We start from the raw sequence: 27,924 nt of genomic DNA on the forward strand, positions 1-27,924 counted from the left end.
TGAAAAAACCTAAGTGGATGTGGTGATGTGCACCTGTGGTCCTAGCTACTGAGTAGGCTGAGGCAGGAGGATCATCTGAACCCAGGAGTTCAAGGCTGCAGTGAGCTATGATCACACTACTGCATTCTAGCTTGGGTGACAGGGTGAAACTCTGTCTCTAAAATTAAAAAAAAATTCATAATTCTGGATGTCTTACAACTTTTTCCTCAAAATATGGACATGGAAAAGTGTGCAAATCACGTAAGTGAACAGTTTGATGAATTTGTACGGACTGAAAACCCTGTTGTCTGTCTGAAATAATGAAGCCTAAAATGATCCTGGATCCTTCAGAGCTCTGGGCCAGTCATTGCCTGTTCACTTTCAGATCCACTCCTACCCCTTCTCTGTTCTGCTGTAGAATTACAGAAAAGGACATTTCCTGGTTTCCTTGACTTCTGGTAGGTTCTGCCAATGAAAGGCAGTGATGGACACCTGAAGGTCAAAAGAAAGGGAGAAGACAGGATATCTTTCTTTGGCACTGCCTTGAGGCATCCATGGAAGCAGCAGTACCTCCTTTTAATCCAGATCTTATCAGGGACTCTCCTCCTCCATGAAGCCCATTTCCTCTGGGCAGCGCTATTGAGGTCTCACTTCCCATTGGATGGCCCAACTCCTTGGCTTTTTTGTCCAGCCCTAGGTTGGCAGTGCCTTCCTGCTGTTGCTAATCTCTCCTGGCTTTCCCAAAGCATTCTGTAAAATCCTTCCAGCTTCAACAAAACAAGTAATAGATTCTTAGACATCATTTTCTGAAAAATGAAGTTGTCCTCACTAAACACCAGCAGCCCTCGTATTTCCCGTGTCTTTACTTAGAAAGAAGGAAATAGGAACCTGTGGACCAAGTACGTGCTACCAATTTAGGTAGGTGAGGTGTACACAATTTTACATTATTTCATTTGTTCCTTGTAACACCTTTTGTCAAGGAATAATACAGTACTGTCATTTTACCAGATGAGGAACTGAAGGTAAGAAAGGATTAGTAACTCTTTGGGATTTGCGTAGCTGCTTCAGGGTTCATCTTGTTCCAAAGCCAGTTCTGTTCCTGCTGTTTGTGATGTTAGCAGTTTGCATCTCTCCCTCTCCCCACTCACCAGGGCCTCTCTGGAAGTGTGATTAGCTTCAGCTTCACTCGGATCCACACAATACTCACCAATCTTTAAGGAGAAATAAACCTGCGAACCAACTAACTAATATAAATATCTTCTTTGAGGATTTGAATACCATTTCTAGGAGGATTGGGATCATTTAAAAATGTGGCAGAGGCTGGGTACGGTGGCTCATGCCTGTAATCCCAGAGCTTTGAGAAGCCAAGGAGGGAGGACCACTTGACACCAGGAGTTTGAGACCAACCTGGGGAACATAGCAGGACCCTGTTTCTACAAATAATAATAATAATAATAAATATCTGGGCATAGTGGTGCATGCCTGTAGTCCCAGCTACTGAGGAGACTGAGATGGGAGGATCACTTGAGCCCAGGAGTTCAAGGTTACAGTGAGCTGTGATTGTACCACTGCACTCTCCAGTCTGGGCAAGAGAGTGAGACCCCCATCTCTAAGAAAAAAAAAAAAGTGTAGCAGAGTTGAGAGTTCTGATCGATGCTGGCAGATGAAGCACAGGACAGCACTGGAATGAAACACTTGGCTTGGTGAGTTGAGATAATGGATTCTAGCCCCTGATTGCTTGGGTCTCTGCTATGATTGATTAGACATGCCTGCCATGTGTGAAGAAAAGGACAGGAGGTATTGTTGGGTATTTGCTGACCCTTTAGAAATTGTGAAGGCCCCAACTTTTAATCTGTCACTTTCTAGCTGTATGAATTTGGGACCTTTGATGAGTCTCTCTGTGTCTGCTATCACATCATAAAAATAGAATAATACTGGGGCTGGGTGGATCACTTGAGGTCAGGAGTTAGAGACAAGCCTGGCCAACATGGTGAAATCTCATCTCTACTAAAAATACAAAAATTAGCCAGGCATAATGGCAGGTGCCTGTAATCCCAGCTGTTTGGGGGGCTGAGGCAGGAGAATTGCTTGAACCTGGGAGGCAGCGGTTGCAGTGAGCTGAGATCGTGCCACCGCACTTCAGCCTAGGTGACAGAGCAAGATTCACTCTCAAAGAACAAAACAAAACAAAGAAAAAGAAAAAAATAGAATAATGCAATGAATCTTCAGGATAATTATGAGGAAAGGACCCTGTAGAATGATGACCAACTTCTTCCCAGTCGTTATTCCTGCTGGAGACTGGGCATACATTTGGGTTTTCTTAGGGCCACTCCAACTCTTTCCTTTCCCAAAGTGGAGCTTAACACCACCTGCTGATGCTCACTCCATTACCAGTGTGGCCTTTGAGCTCTTGCTGGAACACAATTCACAGGGCGTTTTTTATTTTTATTTTTTTTTTGAGATGGAGTCTCGCTCTGTCACCTAGGCTGGAGTGCAGTGGCGCAATCTCGGCTCAATGCACCCTCCGCCTCCCAGGTTCAAGCAATTCTCCTGCCTCAGTCTCCTGAGTAGCTGGGACTACAGGTGCATGCCACCACACTCGGCTAAATTTTTTGTATTTTTAATACAGCTGGGGTTTCACCATGTTGGTCAGGCTTGTCTCAAACTCCTGACCTCAAATGATCCACCCTCCTCGGCCTCCTAAAGTGCTGGGATTAGAGGCATGAGCCGCCCCGCCCAGCCTACAGGGCTTTTATTCCCCCACTTCACACCCTCCAGCGTCAGCCTCATTTCTCCCAGGCAAGTGACCCTCGGACAATTTGAAGGAAGCAATGGCAGTTCCTCATAGCCTTTCTTTCTGGGAAAGATTCCCTCACCTGGCATCATTGGATGAAACAGGAACAATTAGAAGCAAAGCTGGACAGAGCCATGGACTGCCGTCAGGAGACCTGAGCTTAGCTCTAGATCTTTTCTTGGTTGTGTGTCCCTAGGCAAATGAGTTAACCTCTCTGAGCCTCAGCCTGCTCATCTGTAAAATGGACAGGACAAAGTGATGAAGATTACCTCTCAGCATGGAGCAGGTGGATGAGGAGATTGTTCATTATAGCATCAGAGAGGAATAAAGTATATATTTTTTAACTTGCCTATGATAAAGATAATTCTTATTCTTTACAGAAAATCTTGAGGAGTGCTCAAAGGAATGTAAAAATTGCCTGATATCTTACCACAGAGAGATAATAGCCATTGCTACCACTTTGTTGCAATAATCTCAGCTCACTTTTTATGTTTCTATAGTACTTGACTCTGAGGGTTTCAATAAAGATTAAATGAGATAAAATATTTTGAACATTTAGCAGACTGCCTGTGTATGCAAGAAATGTATCTAAATATATTCACTTATTTAACACGTATTTATTATGTTCAAGGTTTGTTAAACATTTAAGGATATGAAAATACTTGATTATTTTCATCAGGTTTCAGGATATACCCTGATCTATAGGATAAAGTACGTGTTACAGGCAAAATTCAACTCCATTCGATTTTCAAGTTGAAGCCAGAAGGGATTGCTGTTTGCTAATTCTAATCAGCAACCAGATTCTAATAAATACGTCCTTAATATTTGTTAGGTATGCTATGTGCCAGATGCTGGAAATATTTGGGTGTGTATCTACACATGCATGTATTGTACACACACGTTTGCATATATACATGTTTATATATATTTATAATAGCATATGTGTGTGTAATTTTTTTCAGCACCAGGCTCTGTAACATTTTCTGCTTGTCTTTGCTAAATCAGAAGAAAGCAACAAGATGAATTTTCGTCAAGTTTCAAAAGTGTTTCGAGATAGTCTGATCTATAGTGTAAATTGTGTGGCACAGGTGAAATTAACTTTGGGGGGCCTTGGGAGACACCTCAGAAGGTTTGAGAGGCAACCTCCAGAGCTGCAGAAATTAACAAATGAGAGTCTTGTCCATTTGCAGAGAGGAGAGGGTCCTCTGAAGATTGAGATGCTCTGGGCAGAGAAAACAAACAACAAACAACAGTTTTAAATATTAGCCTCTAATTGAACATCACAAGAGGAGATGATTTTAATTGCAGCCATTAATTATCATATGAACTGCTTCTCACATGGGCAACTCTGTGATATGCTCCAGAGGGAGTAGCCCGGGGGTTTAACAAGAAATCATAGTTCTCTCAAGTGATGCTGGGGAGGTCGGCAAGTATGCATATTATCTACATTCTACATATTATTGTACTGATCTCTGTATACACGATATATATATCCTCCATATATTACATATGTATCATGTATATTATGTATGCATTAGAATGTATAATTTATCCCTTATCCTTCCCTCATTCGCCACTAATAGTCATACAATAGCACCATTCATTTCATCCCCAAACATGTATTGAGTACCTCCTGTGTTCCAGACACTGGTAATACAGATGATTTCCCTGCAAGAACATAAGCTCTGTGGAAGTGAGGACTTTATTTGTATTGCCGGCACCTAGATCAGTGCTGCGCCTCATAGGTGCTCAACAAATGTTTATTAAATGTATGCGTGTATGCATGAATGAATAATATATGAATATATAATATATACCAGGATATATGGATGTTGTTTGTCTACAGTGTGTACACCATTATATTGTAGTTTTAGATTATCCCGGGAATGTGGTGTATATCTTAGTGGATTTCTGCTATCTATGCATCTAACTATCTAAATCATTTTGTATCCTAATTATCCCCCACCTCCCAATTTCTCTCCATGCTTCAAATCTCTAAAGAGAGCTAATAACAGAGAAGACTAAGCTCACAATCGACCTCAGCACACAACCCCATTTTCATGGAGCAGCCCTGAGCCAAGCCCGAGCAAGCGTGATTGTCAGATGCTGTCGTTGCCTCCCGCCCACTTCCTGTTTCATGAGAGGGGCACTGGCTCACTTCCCCTTCTGCTTGTGCATCCCTTCCGTGTCTCCGGAGGGGTCTCTGGCTGGGGCCTTGTATTATCTGCCCCAGGGAGACTGTTTGGGGCACTGCGTTTGTTTAGCCTAATGAAATGGTCTCTGCAATCAGCAGACTCCATTTGGTTTTGGAGTTGAAGCAGGAAAGATTTGCTGATTGCTGATTACACCAACACTAAATTTCTCCAAGCTTTCTCCTCAGGGTGCGCCCACTGAGTCTGATGCTTCCCTAGCAGATGGAGGATGGGATGCAGAGGGCGGCAAGGGGGCAATGGTGGAGGGTGGAAGGTAGTGGCAGATCCACGAACCCTGTCCTTGGTCCACATACTCTGGCCTAACTAATGATGGCTTTCTGGTTCTCACCTCTTCTTGCTGTGTCTAAGCCAACTCACCTTCTATGCAGCCCTTGTTTTTTTCATGTCTTTTCTATGTAGGATAGTGAAAAATCTTCAGAGCCAGAGTCCTGCATTCCAATGTTTTTATTTGGTTTGTGACCTTGGCAAATCTCCACAGTGACCTGGGGATGACACTGTTCTTCCTGAGACTCCTTCTCCTATGAGAATTAAAGGATAGCTATGCCACTGTTGGTCAAGTTTCCACTCTGCCAAGCTCATTTACTCCTCGCAAAAGCCCTGTGAGGGAGGGTCTGCTACTGGCCCCATTTCCCCAGTGAGACAACTGAGGGTCAGAGAGGTTCTGTAACTTGCTGGAGGTCACACAGCCAGTGAGCAGCAGAGTTGGGATTTGAACCCCGGCAGCTCGGCTCCAGAGCCTACTTTCACTTTTATGATATTGTGGATTTGACTCATTTTAGACTCCTATTTCTTCTGCCCACTTGCTTAGTCCCAGCCGAGGCCCACCCATCCCTGAGACACTGTGCCTCTTTCTGTCTCTCTCCTCTACCCTCCAGGAAGCTCCCTGAGGATGTGGACTGTACACCTTGCTGCTCCTGCATGACACTGACATGGGCAAGGTTCACCTAAGCAAAACGAGGAGGGGATGTCTGTACCCTTTTCTCATGTCTCAGCACATGTGACTTAAAGGGTTCCCACTTAAGAACCCAAGACCTGGATGCACATCTCAGCTTTGTGGTCTCCCGGCGGCGTGACCTCAGACAGGTCATTTGGTTAGACATTCGTTGAACCAATGCTTTTAGGATTCACTGTACTTAACACATAACCCACAATGGCCCAGATGTGTGGACTTGGGATAGAATCTAAGACAGAAATACAGATTTTTCTGCCTCTGTGTCTTACAAAGATACAGGTGCCACATCTGGGAGAAAGTGGCTAATGCCCAGTGACACTGTTGTCCTGGTCCAGTAGAACAGAGTGGAGCTGGCCGGGCGTGGTGGCTCACGCCTGTACTCCCAGCACTTTAGGAGGCCGAGGCGGGTGGATCACGAGGTCAGGAAATCAAGACCATCCTGGCTAACACGGTGAAACCCTGTCTCTACTAAAAATACAAAAAAAAAAAAAAAAAAAAAAAAAAGCCAGCGTGGTGGCAGGTGCCTGTAGTGCCAGTTACTTGGGAGGCTGAGGCAGGAGAATGGCTTGAACCTGGGAGGCGGAGCTTGCAGTAAGCCGAGATAGTGAGACTCCGTCTCAAAAAAAAAAAAAAAAAAAAAGAGTGGAGCCTGGGCAGATGCTCCCAGAAGCTGCCGGGATTTTGCACCTAGCTGTTTTCTAGGTGCATTTATGAGCTGACATGCTGATGTCCTGGGGTGAGCACCCCCTCCTTCACAGTCCCTCAGTGTCTTTTGTTTCCTCTGACAGCCTGGGGGCCCCAACCTCGGGTTGTCTCTCACCTTGTCAAGGCTGAGATGGGGATTTCACAGTTGGTGGCTTCAATCAACTGGGATGGACTGGCAGCTCCTTCTCATGCCACCACCACGGCGTCCTTCCCGCCACCCCTTCTCCCTCTCATCAGCTTGACCTGGCCCTTAGGCTTACTCAGTCTTTGCCTGCTGCCTCTCTCTCTCTCTTTAAAATCAGAAAACACTGGAAAGGCACAGACTTACAATAATGTGAATGGGCAAGCCAATGTGCAGAGAGCTGAGTGTGTCCCTGTAATGGTCCTCGCTGACTTCCATTGGGGAATGCAGTCATAGCCCCAGAAAGAGCACTGGACTGGGAGCCACCAAGCCCAGGGTTCAGATCCCAGCTCTGCGCCTTTCCTGAGTGACCTCGCTGACTGACCTTGCTGGCTTTAGTTTCCTCATCTGCAAAATAAAGAAAAATGAGGCCGGGTGCAGTGGCTCACGCCTGTAATTCCAGCACTTTGGGAGGCCAAGGTGGGTGAATCACTTGAGGTCAGGAATTCGAGACCAGCCTGGCGAACGTGGTGAAATCCCATCTCTGCTAAAAAATACATAAATTAGCCAAGTGTGGTCGTGGGTGCCTGTAATCCCATCTACTTGGGAGGCTGAGGCAGGAGAATTGCTTGGACCCGGGAGGTGGAGGTTGCAGTGAGCTGAGATCATGCCACTGCACTCCAGGCTGTGCAACAGAGCAAGACTTTGTCTCAAAAAAAAAAAAAAAAAAAAAAAAAAAAAAAAAAGAAAAAGAAAAAAAAAAAGACTCCAGGCTAAGAGAGGGGCTGTGAGCCATTCATTTTCACTTAGCTACTCAGTTCCATGGGGAGCTGGGAATTGCGCTTTGACCCCACATCCTCAAATTTCTCCCCTCCCACTGTCCTCAGGTGGTATGTATGTTCCTTTACACAGCAGTCCAAAAATAAACTTTACATAATTAGAGCCGGTTACAAGAAAAATCCCATCTATAACCCCGCTTTGCCCCATCCATAAATATTCTCAATTCTCCATGAGTGTTATTTGCATAGACTTGAGCATGATACTGCTCGGATCTATTCCGTTTGCTTCATGTTATTTCAAAGAAGCACTCCACGCTGCCACAATTCTTATTTCTAATGTTGATGTCTGCCTAAGAGCATCAAAGTGACACACTGTGATTTCCCTAACCATTCCCAATTGCTGGGTGATGAGGCAGATCCCAGCCTCTCCTTGTCATCAGTAGCACTGCTGCAAACATCCTCGGGCATAGAGCTGTGTTCTGTGTCTTGATTTATCCCCCGTAAGATGAATTAATTACCAGGAGGTTAGATGCTGGGTCTCACCCAGGGTTTCAGACTCAGCACCGTGGACATTCAGGCCGGATAATTCTTTGTGGGATTGTCCTGTGCCTTGTAGGATGTTGAACAGCATCTCTGGCCTCTACCCACCAGATGCCAGCAGCATTTCCCCAAGTTGCGACTGCCAAAAATGTCTCCAGACATGACCAAATGTCCCCTGGGGGGCAAAATCACTCTTAGGTAACAATCATTATGTGTTAAAGGGTAGCAATGTGTAGGTTGCAAATTAAAGTCAGAGATTTTCCCAAGAGTCCAGATAAAATCCAATTAGAAAAGTACCAGAAAGTATTGATCACGAAGATGAGCACTGAGAGGGGCGTCAGAGGCACCGAGCTTGAGTTCCAGCTCCGCCATGAAGTCTTTGCTTCTTAAGGCCTCAGTTCCTCATCTGTGAAATGGGAGAAGAGTAAAGACTCACCTGCTGGGCCTGTGAGGCATGAGTGAGATCCTGGCTGCAAAATACTCAACACAGCTCTGGCCACAGAAAGAGCTCCGTAAATGCCCATCGCGCTTGCCTGTTCTGGAGGGAGCCCAGCTGGGTTTTTCATCTTTGCTTTTGCTGCTGTGAGGACAGCAAGGTGGGGGTGTTTAGGGGACAGACTTGAAACTATCTTTGTTATGTTCTCCCCATGACCTCCTGCACCAGATTTATCCTTGAGGCTCAGCTTCCTAAACCAGACTCCATGACCCTTCTTGGTTTTTACGTTTACTCCTCCATCCAAGATGGGCTGAGTATCCACTGTGCGTGGTGGTGCAGATTCAGAGCATGGCCCTGGGGTCAGATGCATTGGGAGCAGCACCCCCTGCACAGGTGAGCAAGCTCTGTGTGCCATGCCCTGGAGTATCTATTCCCTCCTCTATGAAACTTGGAACACCTGGTTGAGGATCCCATAAATCTGTCCGCAGAGAGAGCCTCTCACGGAGAACTTACCACTTCATAGGTGCTCAGTGAACACTAGGCTCAGCCTGGGGCGTGTCTCTTCCCCAGTGCATGCATGGGTGGTGCATTTCTTGCCCAAGGCCAACGTGTGTTTGCATCTTCTGTCCCCAGGAGAAGTACGTGGAGGAACTTGCAGCAGTGAGGCAAACCCTCCAGACAGACCTGGAGACATCCATTCGGCGGATTGCCGACCTGCAGGCTGCCTTGGAAGAAGTGGCATCCAGTGACAGTGATACTGAGAGGTAACTTGCTAGGGGCTCGGCGGGGCTGGGCGCAGCAGGTGGGCGGCATCCTGGGGAGCTCTATGCCCTTTAGCCGGGCTGGGGCCACATTCACTGGGAAACCCAAAGATGTTCGGGGGCTGGAGGCACCCCTCGTTTACTTGGGTAAGGAGAGACTGGATGTTGCCCTGCTGGTTTAACCTCTCCTTGCTGTTGCTAAAACCTCTCAGTCCAGCTTACCAAGCCTTTGGTGAGGCAATGTGACTGGAACAAGGACTAGCGTATGGTCTTCTACAAGTTCCATGTCCAATCTTGGCCTAATTCTCTCATCTGTAAAATGGGCATAATAATATTAGGATGAATCACATGCAATTGCCAAGATTGGACTATTTTTGACCTACAGACTGGAAGTTTCATATATTCAATCTACTGCCTATTTCTTAGGGCTGTTGTTGAGAGTTAATTGAGTTCACAGATGAACATGACAGATATGTAAGTGCTATGTAAGTGGAAGCTATGTTTGTACAGAATAATGGACATTATTTTACAAGGGCAATGGCTGATTCAAGGTTGCAAAGTTGGGCTGGTAATTAGCGAGACCACCCAAGTTCAATGGCAGGGCTTCTTGCCTTTCTCAGAAGATAGGCTACTTTTCACCATCTCTGCTTGAATCTCAAGCTACTGCAGGCCACAGGTGGACCGCTCAGCTGGAAAGAGTTTGAGGTATCCCAGCTGGGCACATGGGTCCAGGCTGTCCAACTCCTGTAGCATTCTGTTCCCAGGAGCTACCTTTGTACCCTTGGCTTATTGCTTCTCTAGGAACCACAGCTGCCTGTCTTGCCACACATCCCTGCCCCCGTTCTAGCCTCTGTGGCAAAGCCTGGGTAGCAGAGAAGACACTTTCCTTACACAGCTTTTCAATAAAGAATCTACAGGGTGGTTCCCTCCTGCTGCCTGCAAGCTGCCCCTGTACACACCTGAGCAGGCCACATTAAAAGCCTGTTTTTCTTAGTCTTCCTCTCTGCGAAGGCTGTTTTTTTCTGCAGCCAGGACAGTCAAACATCAGTCCTTGGAATGCATCCCTCTTTGTTTCCATATGAGGACCCTGACTTTAGAGAAGTTCAAGGTCACACAGCAAATTAGCTTCATACACTGAGCTAGAACTCAGGTCTGCTGAAGTTCCTACCCAGACCTTTGCCATTCACACCTCTCTTAAGGGCTGGAGGCAGGGGTAGCTGCTGACCTTTGGGACTTGTGGGTGCGAGACAGGCAAAGGAAGCAGAGAGGGTTACAAATCAGCTCTGGTTTAGCCAGAAGGAAGAACCAGACATCTATATTGTCTATATTAGAGCTGACTATGAATAGTCAAGGAAAAAAACTGGAAGAAATACACCAACATTCTAACACTGAGGAAAGGCGTTACGGGTGACAATTTTTTTTTTCTTCAAGTTTATTTATATTTTCTGAAATCTGTGCAATGAACATGCACACACATCTCTAGCTCTACTAGTACTCTCTTTAGGAGATTTTGCTCATGTAAGTTATGTACTCCATACACCTAATTTTAGAATGCGCATAACCTCCTCCCTTAATGCAGTCCTGGGCTGGTCATAGCTGCTGAGGGATTTGTAACCTCAGACTCTCCAGTAACGATGTCTGCGCTCAGCAGGAGCAAGATGGAGAGCCACTGGACTCTAAAACTCCATGTTCTTGGCCAGGCATGGTGGCCCACACATGTAATCCCAGCACTTTGGGAAGCTAAGGCGGGAGGATCACTTGAGACCAGGAATTCAAGACCAGCCTGGGAAACATAAGGAGTCTCCATCTCTACAAAAACTCCTTTTTAAAAATTAGCCAGACATGGTGGCCTGTAGTCCCAGCTACTCAGGAGGCTGAGGTAGGAGGATCATTTCAACCCAGAAGTTTGAGGCTGTGGTGAGCTGTGATCTGTGATTGTGCCACTGCACTCCAGCCTGGGTGACAGAGCAAGACCCTGTCTCAGAAAATAAATTAAAAAATAAAAGTTCATGTTTTGCCTGTAAATAAAAGACTTTGTCTTAAAAAAAATTATTCAATTTGTGCAAAAGTGGCTTCCATGCACATTCCAAGTATTCCCGCTATTCCCTGCTAATTGGCACAGCTGCCAAACTGCTGGTGAAAGGGCAAATCCTGATCTTGCAGCTGCTTTCCAGCTCATGGTTGCATTTAGGATTCCACCTCCACTGCCCCCTCCTCCTGTTTTATTAATTAGTGTCATGGCAGAACTTAGTGTAATTACAAACTCCTTTTGTCAATATTACTTGTTTGATGCTTGGGCTGGCTTCTCCATTCATAGAAACAATAGAGCTTTTGCATGAATTACACCAGGAATGAATGGCTGTAGTTACAACCATCTTTGGCCAGTACACAAAATGTTTAAATTATTTTCACTTGCATAGCAAGAGATTGCTTTTCTAGTAAACAATCAAAGTTAAGTAAACATAACCAAATTGGAAGGAGGCGGAGGGTCCATGCTTGAAGGGTGGGTGACAGGCTGGAAGAAGGTGCAACAAGAAGCAAGGGACAGTGTCCATCAACAGATGAATGAATAAAGAAAATGTGATGCGTATACACGATAGAGTACTATTCAGCCATAAAAAAGAATGAGATTCGGTCATTTGCGGCAATGTGAATGGAACTGGAAGTCATTATGTTAAGTGAAATAAGCCAGACACAGAAAGAGAAACATCGCATATTCTCACTTACTTGTGGGATATAAAAATCAAAACAATTTAACCCATGGGAATAGACAGTAGGAGGTGGGATGGCTAATGGGTACAAAAATGTAGTTAGAATGAATGAATAAGGCCTGGTATTTAATAGCACAGCAGGATGACTGTGGTCAATGATAATTTCATTGTACATTAAAAAATAACTAAAGGAGTATAGTTGGATTGTTTGTAACACAAAGGATAATTGCTTGAGGGGATGGATACCCCATTTTCCATGATATGGTTGTTATGCATTGCACACCTGTATCAAAACATCTCATGTACCCCATAAATATATATGCCTACTATGTACCCACAAAAATTAAAAATAAAAACATTATAAAATGAAAAGGAAAACAAGAAGCAAGGGACAGACATCTCACTGGGAGAATGAGATCCCGGTGGTGAGGTCACAGAAAGTTGCAGACATCACTCCAGTCTTGGCGTAGGGGAGAAATCCCCTCTGGCTTTAAAGGGACCCTGCTGTCACCCTCATCCTAATAAGAGACACCTTTATCTGTCTCCTCTGTTCTGATCTACCCTTTCTGAGCTCCATGCCCTGGAATCCAATCTGAATTCTTTCTTTCTCACTTTTCATGATCTTCTGTCTCTAGGGACTTAAGTCTTCCTCCCTGCTGGGCGTCTGATGTTTTTCCCTTGACTGGATCTCTAGTTTCCATATAACACCTGTCTCATAGCTGGAAGGGACATCACCTGCATTTCAGAGTTGCTGTGAGGTGTGACACGACTACAGAAAACCAGGTGTAAAGAAATGCATCTTGTGCCTGTACCTGGAAAAGCCCCATGCAATGTGCAGGATTATTACAATGGGAAGTCAAGGAAGAATTTGAGAGGGAATAGGCTTTGCACATCAACAAGTCTGATTGCCAATTAGAGATCTAATGGTTAATTTCTGCGTGACCTTGGACAAGTTATTCAACCTCTCTGAGCCTCCGTCTCTTTGAGTCTAAGATGGGTTAATAATAAGAAGCAAGTGAAAAAGTATGGCTTCCTAGCACATTACCTTGCACATAGTAGGGGCTCAACGAGAATCATCATCAATTGCATTCATTCATTCATTCATTTGATAAAGTTTTACTGAGCACCTGTTGCGTGCGAGATGCTGTGTTAAGTGCTTGTTTTATTCCACTTGCTTCTTGTTATCGTTATTCTCCCTCTTACAGATGAAGAGAGGTTGAGTAACTTGCCTGAAGTCAGGCAGAAATGAATGTTTGGAACTGTGTCTAAAGCCCAGTTTGGTTGAATTGCTGAGGAATAGAGAGGGAGAAGAGCCTAGGGGTGGTCCTGCTTTTATCAAACCTGCATTCTGATGGTGGAGTGTGTGTGTGTGTATGTGTGTGAGTGTGTCCAAAAATAGAGTGCACAGATTGATAAATAAAACACGAGAATACAATTGGAGTTACGAGGCCAGAGAACGTAGTGCTATGATGAAGAGCAGGGTAGGCAGTTGTAGCCTCCCAGAGAGGAAGGCATTGGAATTAAGACCCGAATGAAATGAAGGAGCCAGCTGTGGGAAGGCCTGAAGAAAATGAGTAATGGCAGATCAAGGCACGTTCTAGGAAGTGAAAGAAAACCAGTGTCCCCCGGGAAGGTAGATGAGGGAGCAGCAGCCCTCTTGTTCCCCTTTTCTCTTTCTCCATCGCATCTTCCTCTTTCCCTTTCTCCTACCTTTCTTCTCCTCTGAAGATGACCCATAGAAACCCACTGACACCCTCAGTTTCTTAAAATGCCCCAGTGCCCCAGGCAGGATTGGCCACGTCATTTGTAGGGTTCAGTGTGAAGTGAAAGTGTGAGGCTTGCTGGGCGCGGTGGCTCATGTCTGTAATCCCAACACTTTGGGAGGCCAAGGCGGGTGGATCACTTGAGGTCAGGAGTTCGAGCCCCGCCTGGCCAACATGGTGAAACCCTGTCTCTACCCAAAATACAAAAATTAGCCGGGCTTGGTGGTGCACTTGGGAGGCTGAGGTAGGAGGATGGCTTGAACGAGGGAGGCAGAGGTTGCAGTGAGCTGAGATGGCGCCAGTGTACTATAGCCTGGGCAACAGAGTGAAACTCTGTCGCCAAAAAAAAAAAAAAAAAAAAAAAAACGAAGGAAAAAAGAAAGTATGGGTCTCCTTGTTAAAAAATTATTTAAGATTTCAAGACAGTAACACAAGAGCATTAAACCAAAATGCAGGCCCTTCTGGGCATGGGTCGCAAGCCCCTGAAGCCAGCCCTGACCCCAGGGTGGTTCTTAGGGAGCATTTCCTAATTCTCAGCAGGCCTTGATCCTAATATGTTGACTTAGAACTTGGATTTGAGTGGAAACACAGTGTAGACTTCAGTAATATCATAGAAATGGGGAAACTGGGGGAAAAAATTGCCCATGAAGTCTCAACACATTTCAAAGAATTAATATTGTATAAAGCATGTTGTCTGATCACAGTGCAATTAAATTGGTTATAAACAATGAAAAGAAGTATTTGTGTTGCTAGGCTGTAAATCCACCGTCCATAGCAGAACCCCCAGCTCCTGCCCAGGCCCCAGTCTATAGTCTCCACTTGCTAACAGCTCCACGCTACACTTCACTCCTAATTTCCTCATCACCCTGGGGTAAGAGGTTTGGATTAGAGCCTGAGGGACTGGTTCGAGGTACTTCTCCAAACAGAGTTCTCAATTATAATAAATTCAAAGCCAACCCAGGAGAGAAACACACACACACACACACACACACAAACACACACACACACACACACGAGAGAGAGAGAGAGAGAGAGAGATGCTTCAGCTGCAGGTGAGGTTCTTTGAGAGACTTGTTCAAATTACAAAAAGTCACATTTCCCCATGTTGGGAATTAGATCTGAGCATAACAGGCCTTCCAGGCTGGAAACGTGGCTACGTGCTCAGAAAGCCAGGTAGCCTATGTGGCAGCATTTAAACGTGTGCTCTCCTGCACTAGAGCCCTGCATTGTAACTTGCACTGTGGCATCAACCTCCTTAGATTAATGGAGAAATGCTTTAAGCCAGTCACCCAGGCCTAAAGTATGCTCATTATTCTTGGAGGGAGGAATATGCTGGCTGACACAGCCCTGTCTATTCATGGCCCAGGGGCTGCGGCTGCTCTGTCTGTCACCTTGGCTAGGGGGTAAAGGGGTTTGGGCGAGATGTAGAGAGGTCAGTGAATGACCTCTTGCTCTTGGGTCGGCTGAAAGTGCATAAGTACCAGCTGGCCCAATCTGAGACGAATGCTCTGAAAAAAGAGTCCTCAGTTGCTTTGTTGAGTGTAAGTTGGACATTTTCCAACGTACATCCTTTTATAACCTGGCTAAAATTAGGCTGCAGTAGGACAAGTGGAAAGATCTGGGTCTAACGGAAGATTCTGGTTGCTACTGAGGGCACGCTTCTGAGTTAATTTATTCATGAGTGGACCCAGGCTCTGTCCAAACTGTAAAGTTTCTTGCTACCTAGTAGGACAGTCATTGGAACTTCCAACAGCTCTTTTCCTGCAACTTTTTTACTTTCTAGTTTGTCCCCTATGAGTAATGAATGTGCTCCAGGCCAGGGAGAACAGCTTAAAGCATTCCTATTAATCTGAGAAGGTTGATGCTGCAGTTCAAGTTGCAATGCAAGGCCTTAGTACCATATAACACCTGTTTAAATGATGCTGCATAGACCACCTGGCTTTCCTTCTAGCCCATATATCCAGCTAGTAGGATTCACAGAGAGTCAGGGCTCCAAACTACTTTGTCTATTCCAGCATTACGGGAAATAATGATAATTGTAACAATAGGTACCTTTTCTTGAGAAATTACTTTGTGCAGGTACTGTGCTACCTGTTTGGCATATGTTATCCTCAAAACAACTCTCTGAGGCTCCTACCATTATTCTTCCCAGTTTGCAGATGAAGAAACTGAGAAGTCAAGAAAGTTGCCCCAATCCATGCAGTAGGTGATGAAGCCATGGTCTGATGTCCAGGCTGACCCCATAACCTAAACTGCTAATGGCCAAGCGTTGTTGTCATGTCAAATGTAACCTACTTCCTCCTTTCCCTTGTCAAGGTCTCTGTTCTCTGCCCAGTAACTGCCCTGTCGTTAAGGAGAACTTGTATCTGTCACTGTGAGATGGGGCCAATGAATTTACATGTTACTTCCCAGGCAACATTTGCATTTAGACTGGAATTGTCTGGCAAAGACTGACCCTAAAGAAGTACAGCTGAAGACATTGAATTAATTATCTCGCTCATCATCAACACCCTGTTTATAAATTCCTGGCACAAGTTCAAGTTCTTCTTCTCTCTCCCCCTCCCCCTCCTCCCCCTCTTCCCCCTCCCCCTCTTCCCCCTCCTCCTCTTCCCCCTCCTCCTCCTCTTCCTCCTTTCTCCTCCTTCTCCTTCTCTTCCTCCTCCTCCTCCTCCTCCTTTCTCCTCCTTCTCCTCCTCCTCCTTCTCCATCTTCTTCTCCTCTCACTCTGTCACCCAGGCTGGAGTGCAATGGCATGATCTTGGCTCACTGCAACCTCTGCCTCCCAGGTTCAAGCAATTCTTCTGCCTCAGCCTCCCGAGTAGCTGGGACTACAGGCACACGCCACCACACCCGACTAATTTTTGTATTTTTAGTAGAGACAGGGTTTCACCATATTGGCTAGGCTGGTCTGGAACTCCTGACCTCGTGATCTGCCCGCCTCGCCTCCCAAAGTGCTGGGATTACAGGCATGAGCCACCACGCCTGGCCAAGTTCTTTTTTTAAAAAGCCACTTGCACCAAGGGGAGAGAAAACCACTGACCGCATGTCAGGAGATGAGGGTCCCAGACAGCTGTACCACCAAATGAATCAGGACCATGGACAGGTCATCTGCCCTTTGGGCCCCTGCCCACTCAGCAGAAAACAATGAATGGACACCTTATGTGTTGGGACAGGGGGTACAGTAGGGAACAAGCAGACATGGACTTGCCTTGTGGAGCTTGTAGCCCAGAGACACTTTCTTCACATGGTAAAAGGGCCAATGTGTTTCAAACGTCCTCCTTATTGTAGAATTCGTTTTTTATACCAAAGCTAACTCATGTACAAAATTCTAGCTTAGGATGGAGTGCAGCCATCCTCTGATTGGAGTGACAGAGGAAGGTTTTGGGCTAAGCCTTCCTCCTAGGTCTCTCTTCTTGACCCCTTGGTACCCACACTTTACATGGGGTCTCCTAGAACTCGAGGGCTCCATGCACCATGGTATACAAACTCAAGTACTTTCCAGGACCAATAACCTGTGACTTACGTGCAGTCTATATGGTAGTGAGTTCTGCCCATGTGGTTTAATACTTCTCAGGAGCAGACAGTACAAAGCTCCCCACTGCTTCTGCCTGAAAGCCTTTTTTTTTTTTTTTTAAATCTCCTGTCCCGAAGGCTTCATTGCGGATCATCTCATGATAAAGGTGTTAGGTGCCTTCAGCATTTGTTCGTACAATAAACGTGAGCTATAGTTCCCAGAAGCTCTTAATTCAGCCTTCTTATTTTAAACATACTCTCATTTTTTGGAGACCATCTCAAATGGTAGGAAGCATGGGGTCCAGGTCAGATATCACACTTGGTGTGGACAGTATTTCATCATGAATGAACAAACAGACCAGCTGGTGGGTCTTGACTTCAGCCTTAGATATTCTGTGCAAGTTTAGTGAAACAGGTTCATGGGCAAAAGCAACCAGTGTGCAGATACTATAAAAATGTAGGATTAATAAGCAGCTATACTTCCATCTTTTTTATTTGTCCTTGTGGCTAGTTCTTTTCCAGATCAGAAGCTTAGGAGGAGCTAGTAAGGATTGCCGATAATCTTAGGCTCTTATAAGATTGTCCCTTTAGATTCTTCACTGTTTTTTTTTTCTCCCACATTGTGACACTGTGATTAAGGGTGTAACAGTAGTTAGCAGTGCAGTGTTGGGTCATGCCTGCTGTCTGCTTCTTCCTCATATAAACTATTGGCCTAGTAAATGCAGATCTTCCTGTTAAGGTAGAAAAAGCATTGAGATTAGCTATTGTAATAGAGTCTGGCAGAAACTGAAAGACAAACTCTAAATGAAGAGAGCTTAACAAAAGGACTATTTACAAAGGTGTGAGGAAGCTCCAAGGTATAGATGGCGCAGCACCTAGGGAATAGCAGCAACTGAGAGCAGTAACTCCTGCAAGGTCTGAAGGGAGAAAAAGAGGGTGCAATTGCTGGAATCCAGAAAGAAAGAGAGTGAGAGAGAAGCCTGATAGGAGGAGCTCTGGCCTTTGGTTGAGAGCTGGAGCCAACACAAGGAAAGGCAGTAGAGAGAAATCCAGAAATCCAGGACAATAAGTAACTTCAGCTTCCCTGTCTTCCCTCCTTCCTGTCAACTGTCAGTTGCATTCCCTATTGGCTGAGTCCAAGAGAAAGCCATGGGATAGGGAACCCATTGATGTTGTCCATACAGATCAGCCCCCTGTGTGGACAGAGTGGGTCAGAGAGCAGGAGCATGTGGAAGAGTAAGGAGATGAGAAGATGCCCAGCATGATTAGACATCAAGGAGGGAATGGGTCTCTAGTGCTGGGGAAGAGCCCTTTGGAAGAGGGTGAATCTGAATGCCGAGTCCACCCGTGGGGCTAGTACTCATGGAGTCAGCCAGGGTAAATAGTAAACAAGAACTAACACCAGTGTGTGCTTTGATTAGCTATTGGGCTATAAAGACTTTCCTGAGTGCTGGATTCAAGTAAAGATTGGTGTTTAGTCAAAGTAGGTGAGGAAGTACTCAAAATGTAAGTGAATGGGTGACTGTGTTCCAATAAAACTTTTTCCCTGTACAGAAACATATTCCCTTGTTTTGGGGGTTAGAATGTGAACATCTTTGGGGACCATTATTCTGCCTCCTACAAGGCCATTCACAAAAGCTGCTTTTGTTCCACTGCAGAGTCTTTTTCTTTAAAAGGGCTAGATAGTAAATATTTAGCCTTTTCATGCCATGTTGTCTTTGTTGCACTACTATTATGGTGCAAAAACAATCACAGACAAAAATCTCTATTTATAAAAATAAATGGTAGGCTAGAATTGGCCCATGGCTGTTGTTTACTGACTTTTCTTCTGTTGGATTCACCAAGCATTGTCTGAGAACTTCTGGTCTGACTGAGCTTTGGGGCTGAAGGATGAATAAGACTTGTTCTTGGTCCAGAAGGGATGTTGGTCACTGCCTGGACAAATGCATGTAAATAGAAGCCCCCAGGGTGACAGGCTTTTGAGGGTGGGAGCCAAGGAGCAGCAGGTGCAGCTCTTAGAGGAAACAGCTTGATCTTCTAAAAGAGGAATTGTCCAGATTACAGCAGAGAATACTGAGAAGCCCCAGCCTGATGATCCAGATTAAAATGATGTCCTAGGTGTCTGAGGTTTGCGGTTTGGCTGTCTGCACCCACCCACTGAACAATTGCATGCTGATTAGGAGCATGAGCTTAACAGGCCTGGGATCAAAAGCTGTGTGACTTAGACAAGTATGTCAGGTTCCTAATCTCTAAAATGGAGACACATGGGGTAGGTAGATGAGATTGTGTGGGTAGCATATTTGTTGAATGGAGGGATGCTCTCTAAAGAACAGCTACCATCGTAATTAGTATTGGAGTTTCCCACAATGCCCTGGGAAGCTGCCCTGCTCCATGTCTGATTTGCTAGCACTCACAAAGAACATACAGCTAATACCTTGCTTGTTAGCAATAACAATGCTATTAATAATAGCAGTACTAGTTGTACTAAAACAAGAGTAGCGGTAATGGTTGCTACCACTTAATTAGCACTATCTATTTGCCAGGAACCATGCTGAGATCTTCACAAGGGTTATCTCACTTACTCTGCTCCACAACAGAGCCCCATTATTTGCCACATTTTAGGAAGGAAGAAAGGAAGCTCAGGGAAGGCAAGTGACTTCCCTGAGATCACACAGGGGCAAAGGTTGGAAGTGGGATTCACACTCATGTCTGTCTAACGTCAATAACCATGCTTCCAAGCCCCTGGCAGCACGAGGATAACACACTCTTTCTTGTGCCTCTTACTAGTGTCCAGACGGCAGTGGATTGTGGCAGCAGCGGCCGAAAAGAGATGTAAGTTAACCCCAGGTAGAACTGAGCAGCTCACAAGGGTGAGCCCCTGGCTCTCTCTGTCCAGTTTGCAGAGGGAACATCCATGTCCACTTGGAGAATTATCAGTGATGCCCATGAGACTAATGCCTTCATGGTCATAACCTATAGCACTAGGAACATCGTATTGAACTGCCCTAGTTCTTTTAGACAGAAAGAAGCCTATGCCTTCTCATGCTACTGTCCTCAGACACCTTCAATGGCTCCCTATTGCCCCAGAACAGACTTTTTACACTGATGTTTGTATTCTGCACATTCAGACCCTTGCCTTCCCCTCCAACTGTGATTTCTGGTTTCCATATTGTTTATGCCCCGACCTTTATGACCTCCGTACCTATGTGTACGTGATTCCTTCCACCCAAAATTCCGTTCTTCAGTCCCTGCGTGGCCAAACCCTAACCTTCAAAGAAGATGTAGCTCAACTTTCACTACTTGATGTCTTTCCTTAGGCCTCCAAGAAGCAAATCAAGGCTCCCTCTTTGAAAGAAAAAATTATTAATGCTTTATAGAGGCACAGAGGGTAGGTTTTATTAGAACCTACCATTACTAATGCTTTATAGAGGGACAGAGAGCAGGTTCTAGTAAAACCTACCCTCTGTCCCTCTATAAAATATTAATAATTTTTAAAAATTTTATTGTTATTTATAGAGATGGGGTCTTGAGGGACAGGGTCAATGTTAAGTTCATGTGGACAAGAACTGGTGCTTGGCATAAATAGAGCGTCCTATTAAAAAACTATATATTATAATATATATACACATACACACATATAAATAATATTAATAAATATACACACATACATATACACACACATATACATAATGTTGAATGAGTATATCAACTTACGTGGTCTCATTGAGGACCTGTGACGACCCCCTCTCTTTCTGTGCCGCTTTCAGAATCAGGGGACATAAAAGTAGAGTCCCTGTTTTAAAGATGATCCAGATAAGGTAAGGAAGGAGTTAAGACCTTCACACTTGATATATTCCTTGAACACATCAAATTCAATGCCAAACTTTACTCCTAAATTGGAGAGACCTCAACATTTGTAGTGGAGTGTGTATCTCCCCAAGGAAGAGTGCCATGATTAATAGCATGGGCATTGGAATAAAAAGGAACAGGGTTTGCATCCCAATTTCATCATTGACTAGCTGGGTGACCTTGGCCAAGACCCAAATTGGCCTCTCCAAATCTCAGTAATTCCATCTGTGTAACTGTGACAGCACTGGCTCCTACCTCTCTGGGATGGCGAGTGAGGTTATGCAGGTATATCACTTAGCACAATGCCTGGCTTATGCTATGGGTGAATATCTAATTATTGCTGTTACTGTGATTGTCATTGTGCTGATGGTGTCCTGCAATCTTATTCTAGGGATAACGTCTCCATCCTCAGCTCCCAGCCAGAGGGCAGCCTGCAGTCCTGGTTGAGCTGTACTCTGTCCCTGGCCACAGATACTATGAGGACTCCTTCTCGACAGTCAGCCACCAGCAGCCGCATCCTCAGCCCCAGGTAAGAGTATCTCCTTGCTGCCTCTGGATGGCTAATAGCTTGAAGAATCTCAGACTTTGAAAGTTGTTGTTCAAGTCTTTCATTGTCTCTGGCATAGGCAAAAACAAGCATGGTCCTGAAAGTCTGGGGTATAACTCTGCCACTTCCTAGCTGTGTGACTTTAGGCAGATCCTTTACCCTCTCTGAGCTTCTACTTCCTCATCTGCAATACATGGAATATAATTTTATTTACTGATCCAAATGGTTGAAGCAATGAGGACCTAATGCAGTCCTCTCCAGAGCATGGTTTTCCAGATTTTTAAATAGCACAGGGTGAACATTTTAAAAAATAGTAATAGTTGTTATAGTTGCCTTCTACTTAAGGCACATCATACTCTTTTTTCCATTTATGGGTAATTACAGGTTCAAAAAATTTTTAATAAACATATTCACTTAAGCTTTTTTAATGGAAAGTCATTATAAAGAAATTGGGCCAGATGATTTATCACCTGGAGATTTTAGCTTTATTCAAATTTTAGCTTTATTTTTAATTTTATAATTTCCTTACCACAGAAAGGGATGAATTCAGGTGTGGCCTGATATGGGAGCCTCACAAATCTACAGAATTGCCAACAACAACCGCCTCCAATAAATGGGCCTTTGGATTCACCCTTAGTTGCACAGTTTCTATCATCCATCTTCCTTCTTGCTTTTCAGCTCCATTTCTCTGAGCTCACTTGGTTTCCCTTTTCAAGGGTGGCCCTCTTGTAATTAGGAGTTAATGGCCATAAGTCAGAAATTATGGATTAAGATATGCATAATTAAGATGAGATGCTCACAGTTTTTGTGAACAGAAGGCCCAATATGATAAGACTGGAAAAATCACAGACTCACGGAGCAAACCCAGACAACCGCTTCCTGACTCAAAACGTGTTTGCTTTGATGCAGGGGTTGTCTTTACAAAAAGAAGGGAGTGGGAGTTTATGCTAAACTTTTGGGCATATTTGGCAAATGGCAAATGTCTGGTGCATGTCTGCAGATAATCTTAGGCTGAAAGACTTGATGTAGAAAATATCAAAGACAGGCTCCAAGAATGGGTTGCTTCTGGGGAGCTAATTAAAGCAAGATTATCTGATTACTGCTCTTAATTAAAAACAAAGGCCTGTATGAAGAAGGGAATTGTGTCCTCTGTGAACTCCAAACTATGAGGACTTTATCTCTTCTGAAAACTAAATACCTTTGCGTTAGCCTGTCTGCCAGTGGCAGCAGGAGAATTGGAGGCAGCCAGAGAAGAATGTGAATGCTCATTAACATAATAACCAAGTTTCATAATTCTAATTATATTAGGGTGGATAATAAGGATCCTAACAGATGAATTGCAGCCTAACCTAAGTTGTTTGGCACCTGTTTGAATGGGAGATGGTAGGGTATTACGGTTTCGGTGCAGGATCTGAAGTCAGAGCTGGATTCCAATTCTTTTTTTTTTTCATTTGCTGTACATGTTTAAGATATAATTGGCAATATCAATATTGCCAAAACAAAAAGTAGGCACTTTTTACATTGTAATGGCCTGTTGAAAAGTTTTAGAATTGTTATTCTATACAGAGATTCATCTTTAATCAGTGTTCTGGCTGCTTCCAAATTCACTGAATTCTCTAGCACTGGATTAGAAAGCATAATCTATAGGAAAACGTATACAATGTATAGTTTTTAAAGTCAACGTTTTTAGAACAACAAGACAAACCAGTACATATAACTTTCAATAAGCATTTATCAAATGCTTACTATGTATGGACCCGGACATAGATTAAAAAATAATATTCCAATTCTTTATTTGCATATCTGCAGCTGTGAGATTTTGGACAAGCTGCTTAACTTCTCTGTTCATGTTTCCTCCCGAGTAAATCATGATTGTTGTCAGGGGTAATGTGGTGATGCACAAGCCACTCTTTACTCAGAGCCTGGCACCTAGAAAGAGCCACAAAAAATTAGCCATTTTTATCAGCAGCAGTAACTATTTGATGCCCGGAGGAATCCCGGGAGATAGACTTCACTGTCTATCTTCATGTTACAGAAGAGAAATCTGAGACTCAGAGAAGGGGGAGCAACTGATCCATGCATAGATGGTCTTACAGCTCCTGCAGTGGCCCCTCAGGCAAGGTGGGTCTTCAGCATCTCCCAGAGAGCCCTATCCAGAGTCTCTTTCCCTTTTCTTTTCCCTTTCCCCTTCCAAGTTCTTGGGCATGTTCAGCTGCTGTTTGGAGTGAAAGTGCTTGCACCAAGAACAGGGAGGGGGCAGGAGGCAAGGGAGATACTTACACATCTGTAAGAAGGGATTTCTTGTCTGTCTTCCTCATGGCCACATCCCCAGGGCTGGCTCACAGTTGGTGCTCAATAAATGTTTGTTGAATGAATAACTGACCAGAGCATCAAGGCTGGAGCAGAAATATTAATTGTATTTGGTCACAGCTCAGCATTGATTGTGGCACAGAGAGGGTTGGTAGTTTACTAATAGCACAAAGTAGGTAAGTGGAAGAGCCAGAATTTGAACCTAGGTTGGAATCCCACCAAAGCCTCTATTTTATTTGCCATGCTACCACAGCTCTCTGACATTCATCCAGGAGGTAGACCACTCACCTGGTAAAGTTTACTGGAAAAATCTGATCTCTGTTTATTAGTACTAAAACTGCCTAAGGATTATTATGCAACCTTCAATGTTCAGCCAAGACAAAGTGCTACTGAGCACCAGATCCTACGACATTAAGCCCTAAAAATTATGAACCCCTTCCTTTGAATATGTTTATAGCTTGAGGACTCAAGGCATTCTGAGTTGCAAAGGACCACCGGGATTATCCAGCCCAACTTGCTCAGTTTATAGATGGGAAAACCTGAGGTCTGCAGAGGGAAATATCTTATCCAAATTTATGGTATGAACTGACACAGAGTACAGGTGTCTTGACTTCTAGCTCTTTTTAATTGCACAAGCAATCTATGAATACTTCTCTCAAAGAACTTAAAATATATCAGAAGGCTGAAATGCCCTTGGCCACCACTGCAGTCTTAAGCTTCCTTCTCAGAAGGATCCATCATCTTCAGTTTGGTGTATATCCTTCTCTATCTTTTTCTATATGTATATATCATAAACATATACATGTACTTGTAGCAAATATATAGCATATTTGTGAGATTTTTAAAAACATAAATTATATAATTACATGTAATGCTTTTCATAAATTTTTACAATATACTTCTTTCCCTCAGCAATACACCTTGGAGATCTTTCCTTACCAGTATGCATAAGTTCATCTCATTCTTTGTAATTCCTGCACAAGCTGCCATGCTTTATTTAACTATAGTGTCTTTATTTCACTTTTAGGTGCTTTCCAGATATTTGATATTAACTTGTCAAGCTTTGAAAAACACACATTCTTATAAACATGGGTAAATGATTCTCTGGATCAAAGGGCATTTGCATTTTAAACTCTAATAGATATGAGTGTCCTTTCTGCTAGGAGACTGTATCATAGTAGAGAACAGGACTCCTATTTATACCCGCTCCCATATTACCTGGTGCATGGGAAGACCCAATAAATGAGCCTCTTGGATATATCCCATTTGACTGAGAAAGAAGGTCACTCTAAAAACAGAAGAGAGGGAGAAAGCAGTCTTCTGCCAACAAAATAAAAGCATTCCCCACATTATTTATAAGGGGACGTCAACTCAAGAGAAATACACCTAAAGCGTTATGATTTACAGCCTAGGAATCATGCTGCTGCCGCTGATAAGTGCAAGCGCTTCTGGAGACGAAGACACTAAATTACCTTTGTGGCCACAGAGAGGGAGTTTATGGGCTGGATGGTGGCAGTCACACTTTGTTCAGGAGTTTCTCTTAACATCTGGCCGCAAGTGGTGCCTGGGCTGTCCAGGGTCTGGCATGCTTACGTCAGTCCCTGCTGCATGCCTGGCCTCTCCTTCTCGCTCTCCTTCCACTGCTCTGTGGATGAGAGTGCGAGGGCAGTGAGGCTCTCCCAACTTCTTCTTACCCTGACAACACATTGGGCTTCCTGAGCAGGGTCTAAGCCTCATTTCTTTCTAGATCCTCACCCCAAGCCCAGTAAAACCCTAGCCATGGTCACTCACCCTGTTCTGCAAGGTCCACATGCTGACAGGCATGACGACCTAGCTGTAGAGACTGCCAAGGTATTGTCATCGGGCAGTCGCTGTTCTCATTTCCTGGGCAATTATTCCAAACCATCCTGACTTCCCTCTGATCTCTCCCCATCACTCTCAGGAGGCAACTCCACTTCTGTTTCATTCAAAGTAAAATAATAATGCCTTTAACTTCTGCTGTGATGTATATGCATTCATCTCTATTTGCCCCCATATTCCCTCTGGTCTCAGAAGATGAGGTCCAGTCCTGCCCTGTCTGAAGCTAATTGGGATCCAGGACTTCTTTCTCCCTAAAACACTCTGATTCATCTAGTGTCACCTCTGTCTCTTGTGTCCTCAACTTTCCTTGTTTCAGTTCTTCCCCCAGAGGTTATAAACAGCTGAGGTCCTCCCCATCCTAACCATGTCCTCATCCATCACCTTGCTGTCCTATTGAGTTACTGTTTTTCCTTCCTTTTGATTCGAGCTTCTCAGACGTGTTGTTAATAGGTACCATCTTCACTTACTCCACATTCATGCCTCAATTTACTACAGCCCAGAGACTGCTCTGCCACTCCATTGAAACCTTTCTCACTGTGTCAGCAGCTTCCAGAGACACAAATCAGGGGACATTCTCTAGTCTTTATATTTTCCTGGACTTTTCCCCACTGTTGAACATTTCATGGAACTCTATCTGCTTGGCCTTGACAAGATTTCTGCTCCTTGGTTCTCCTCAAACTTCTCTTCCCTGGTCTTTGCCTCACGACCTTATCTCCAAATGCCAGGGTTCACAGGTTACTGCCCTCACTTGGCTGATTCTCTCTCCACCTGATAGCTGGCAATTCTCCTTTTGTGATTTTGGCTCTGCAGCTTTCAGCAGGTGACCCCCAAATACAGATGAACGTCTTTATATTCTCCCAAGTTTTAAATTTATGTATGTTATCTTATTGTCTATACTGATCACCAACCAGGTATCTCCCTGATGTTTTAACTCAGCATGTCCAAGAGGAAACTCATCCTGCCCCACCAGCCCTGTGTTATCAGGATCATTGAGTGGTTCTGTTATTCATAAAGCACCACGTTGGAGCCCTTGTTATCTTAGGTTATCATTCCCCTCTCTCATCCCCATATTCAACGAATCCGTAAGTCTTGTATTCTACCCCCCACCCAAACAAATACTCTTTCTGCTTCTCTCCATCCCCCACTGCCAACACCTTTAAGTCAAGCTACCATAATTGTGCTCCTAGACTCTGGCAAAGACCTTTCAACTCCACCCTCCTTTAGTCCATCCTCTATACTTTAGCCAGTTTGATTCCTCTAAAAGGAAAATCTGGTTTCAGTGGCTCCTCATTGCCTACAGCAGGGGTCCCAGAGTGCAGGTTGAGGGCAGAAGCATGTGGTGGGCTCAGAGAGTTCAACAGGGCCTGACCAGCGGGCCTGGAAAACATACTTCAAGAAAGTAAAGGGTAGATCTGTTTTCTAATACAACCTCTCCTTTACTAGTTCCTGACTATGAGCAAGTTACAGTCTCCGAGTCTCAGCCCCTCCACCGTTAAATAGACTTTAATAATATTCCCTTTGCAGAGCTGAAGAATTAACAACTGTAGCAAATTAGCACTCTAGAGTGCTCATTGGAAGGCCTGCCACCAAGTTGGTGTTTAATAAGCAGAAACTCCCTTCCATCCTCTGTCCTTCATCCCAGAGCAGGCCAGGTAATGCTGCTGTGCCAAAGGCATGGATGCTGACAGGCAGGACCAGGGAAAACTAGGACTGGGTGCTCCACATACCAGAGATTGCAGAAGTGGGCTAAACTCACAGCAGAAAACCATGAGCACAACAGAAAACCTCTTGGCAGTGAAAGTGGAGTTTTGGTGAGCTCAGTTTTAAATATGTTAAACTTCGTGTGTTTGGGGACATCCAAAGAGAATTGTCCAGAAGCTTTTTAAACTCTGACCTGGAGCCCTAAGGAGATACCAAGAAACCTCTGCGTAATGTTAGGATTCTTATGAGTGTAGATGACATAAAACCCATCAACCTGGCCAGAGTAAGAAGGAGCATTTATTGTTTCCTGTAGCTGGGAAACCAAAAAGGAAAATCTAGCTTCAGGCATTACTAGATCCAGGAATTCAAAAATGATCATGGGGATTTGGT

The 27,924-nt window shown here is 44.4% G+C and overlaps 1 protein-coding gene across 13 annotated transcripts in view, besides 1 other annotated feature; it reads left to right on the plus strand.

Moving 5' to 3' along the window:
• MYO18B (myosin XVIIIB) overlaps positions 1–27,924 on the plus strand; it is a 321,660-nt gene that overhangs the window by 241,023 nt on the left and 52,713 nt on the right. For all 13 annotated transcript variants that reach the window (XM_011530461.3, XM_011530458.3, XM_017029014.2 and 10 more), the window contains 3 exons: positions 9,153–9,283; positions 20,055–20,099; positions 21,508–21,645. In XM_011530461.3, the coding sequence (XP_011528763.1) occupies positions 9,153–9,283; positions 20,055–20,099; positions 21,508–21,645 (314 nt within the window). The remainder of the gene's footprint in view (positions 1–9,152; positions 9,284–20,054; positions 20,100–21,507; positions 21,646–27,924) is intronic.
• Positions 9,287–9,787: an enhancer, noted in NCBI's record as "H3K4me1 hESC enhancer chr22:26388463-26388963 (GRCh37/hg19 assembly coordinates)". NCBI's record gives its function as "activates a minimal SCP1, AML or CMV promoter by ChIP-STARR-seq in primed H9 embryonic stem cells {active_cell/tissue: H9 hESC(primed)}" and the evidence as "EXISTENCE:reporter gene assay evidence [ECO:0000049][PMID:30033119]".

Source organism: Homo sapiens, chromosome 22 (genome assembly GCF_000001405.40).
Source record: "Homo sapiens chromosome 22, GRCh38.p14 Primary Assembly".
NCBI classification, from domain to species: Eukaryota; Metazoa; Chordata; class Mammalia; order Primates; family Hominidae; genus Homo; species Homo sapiens.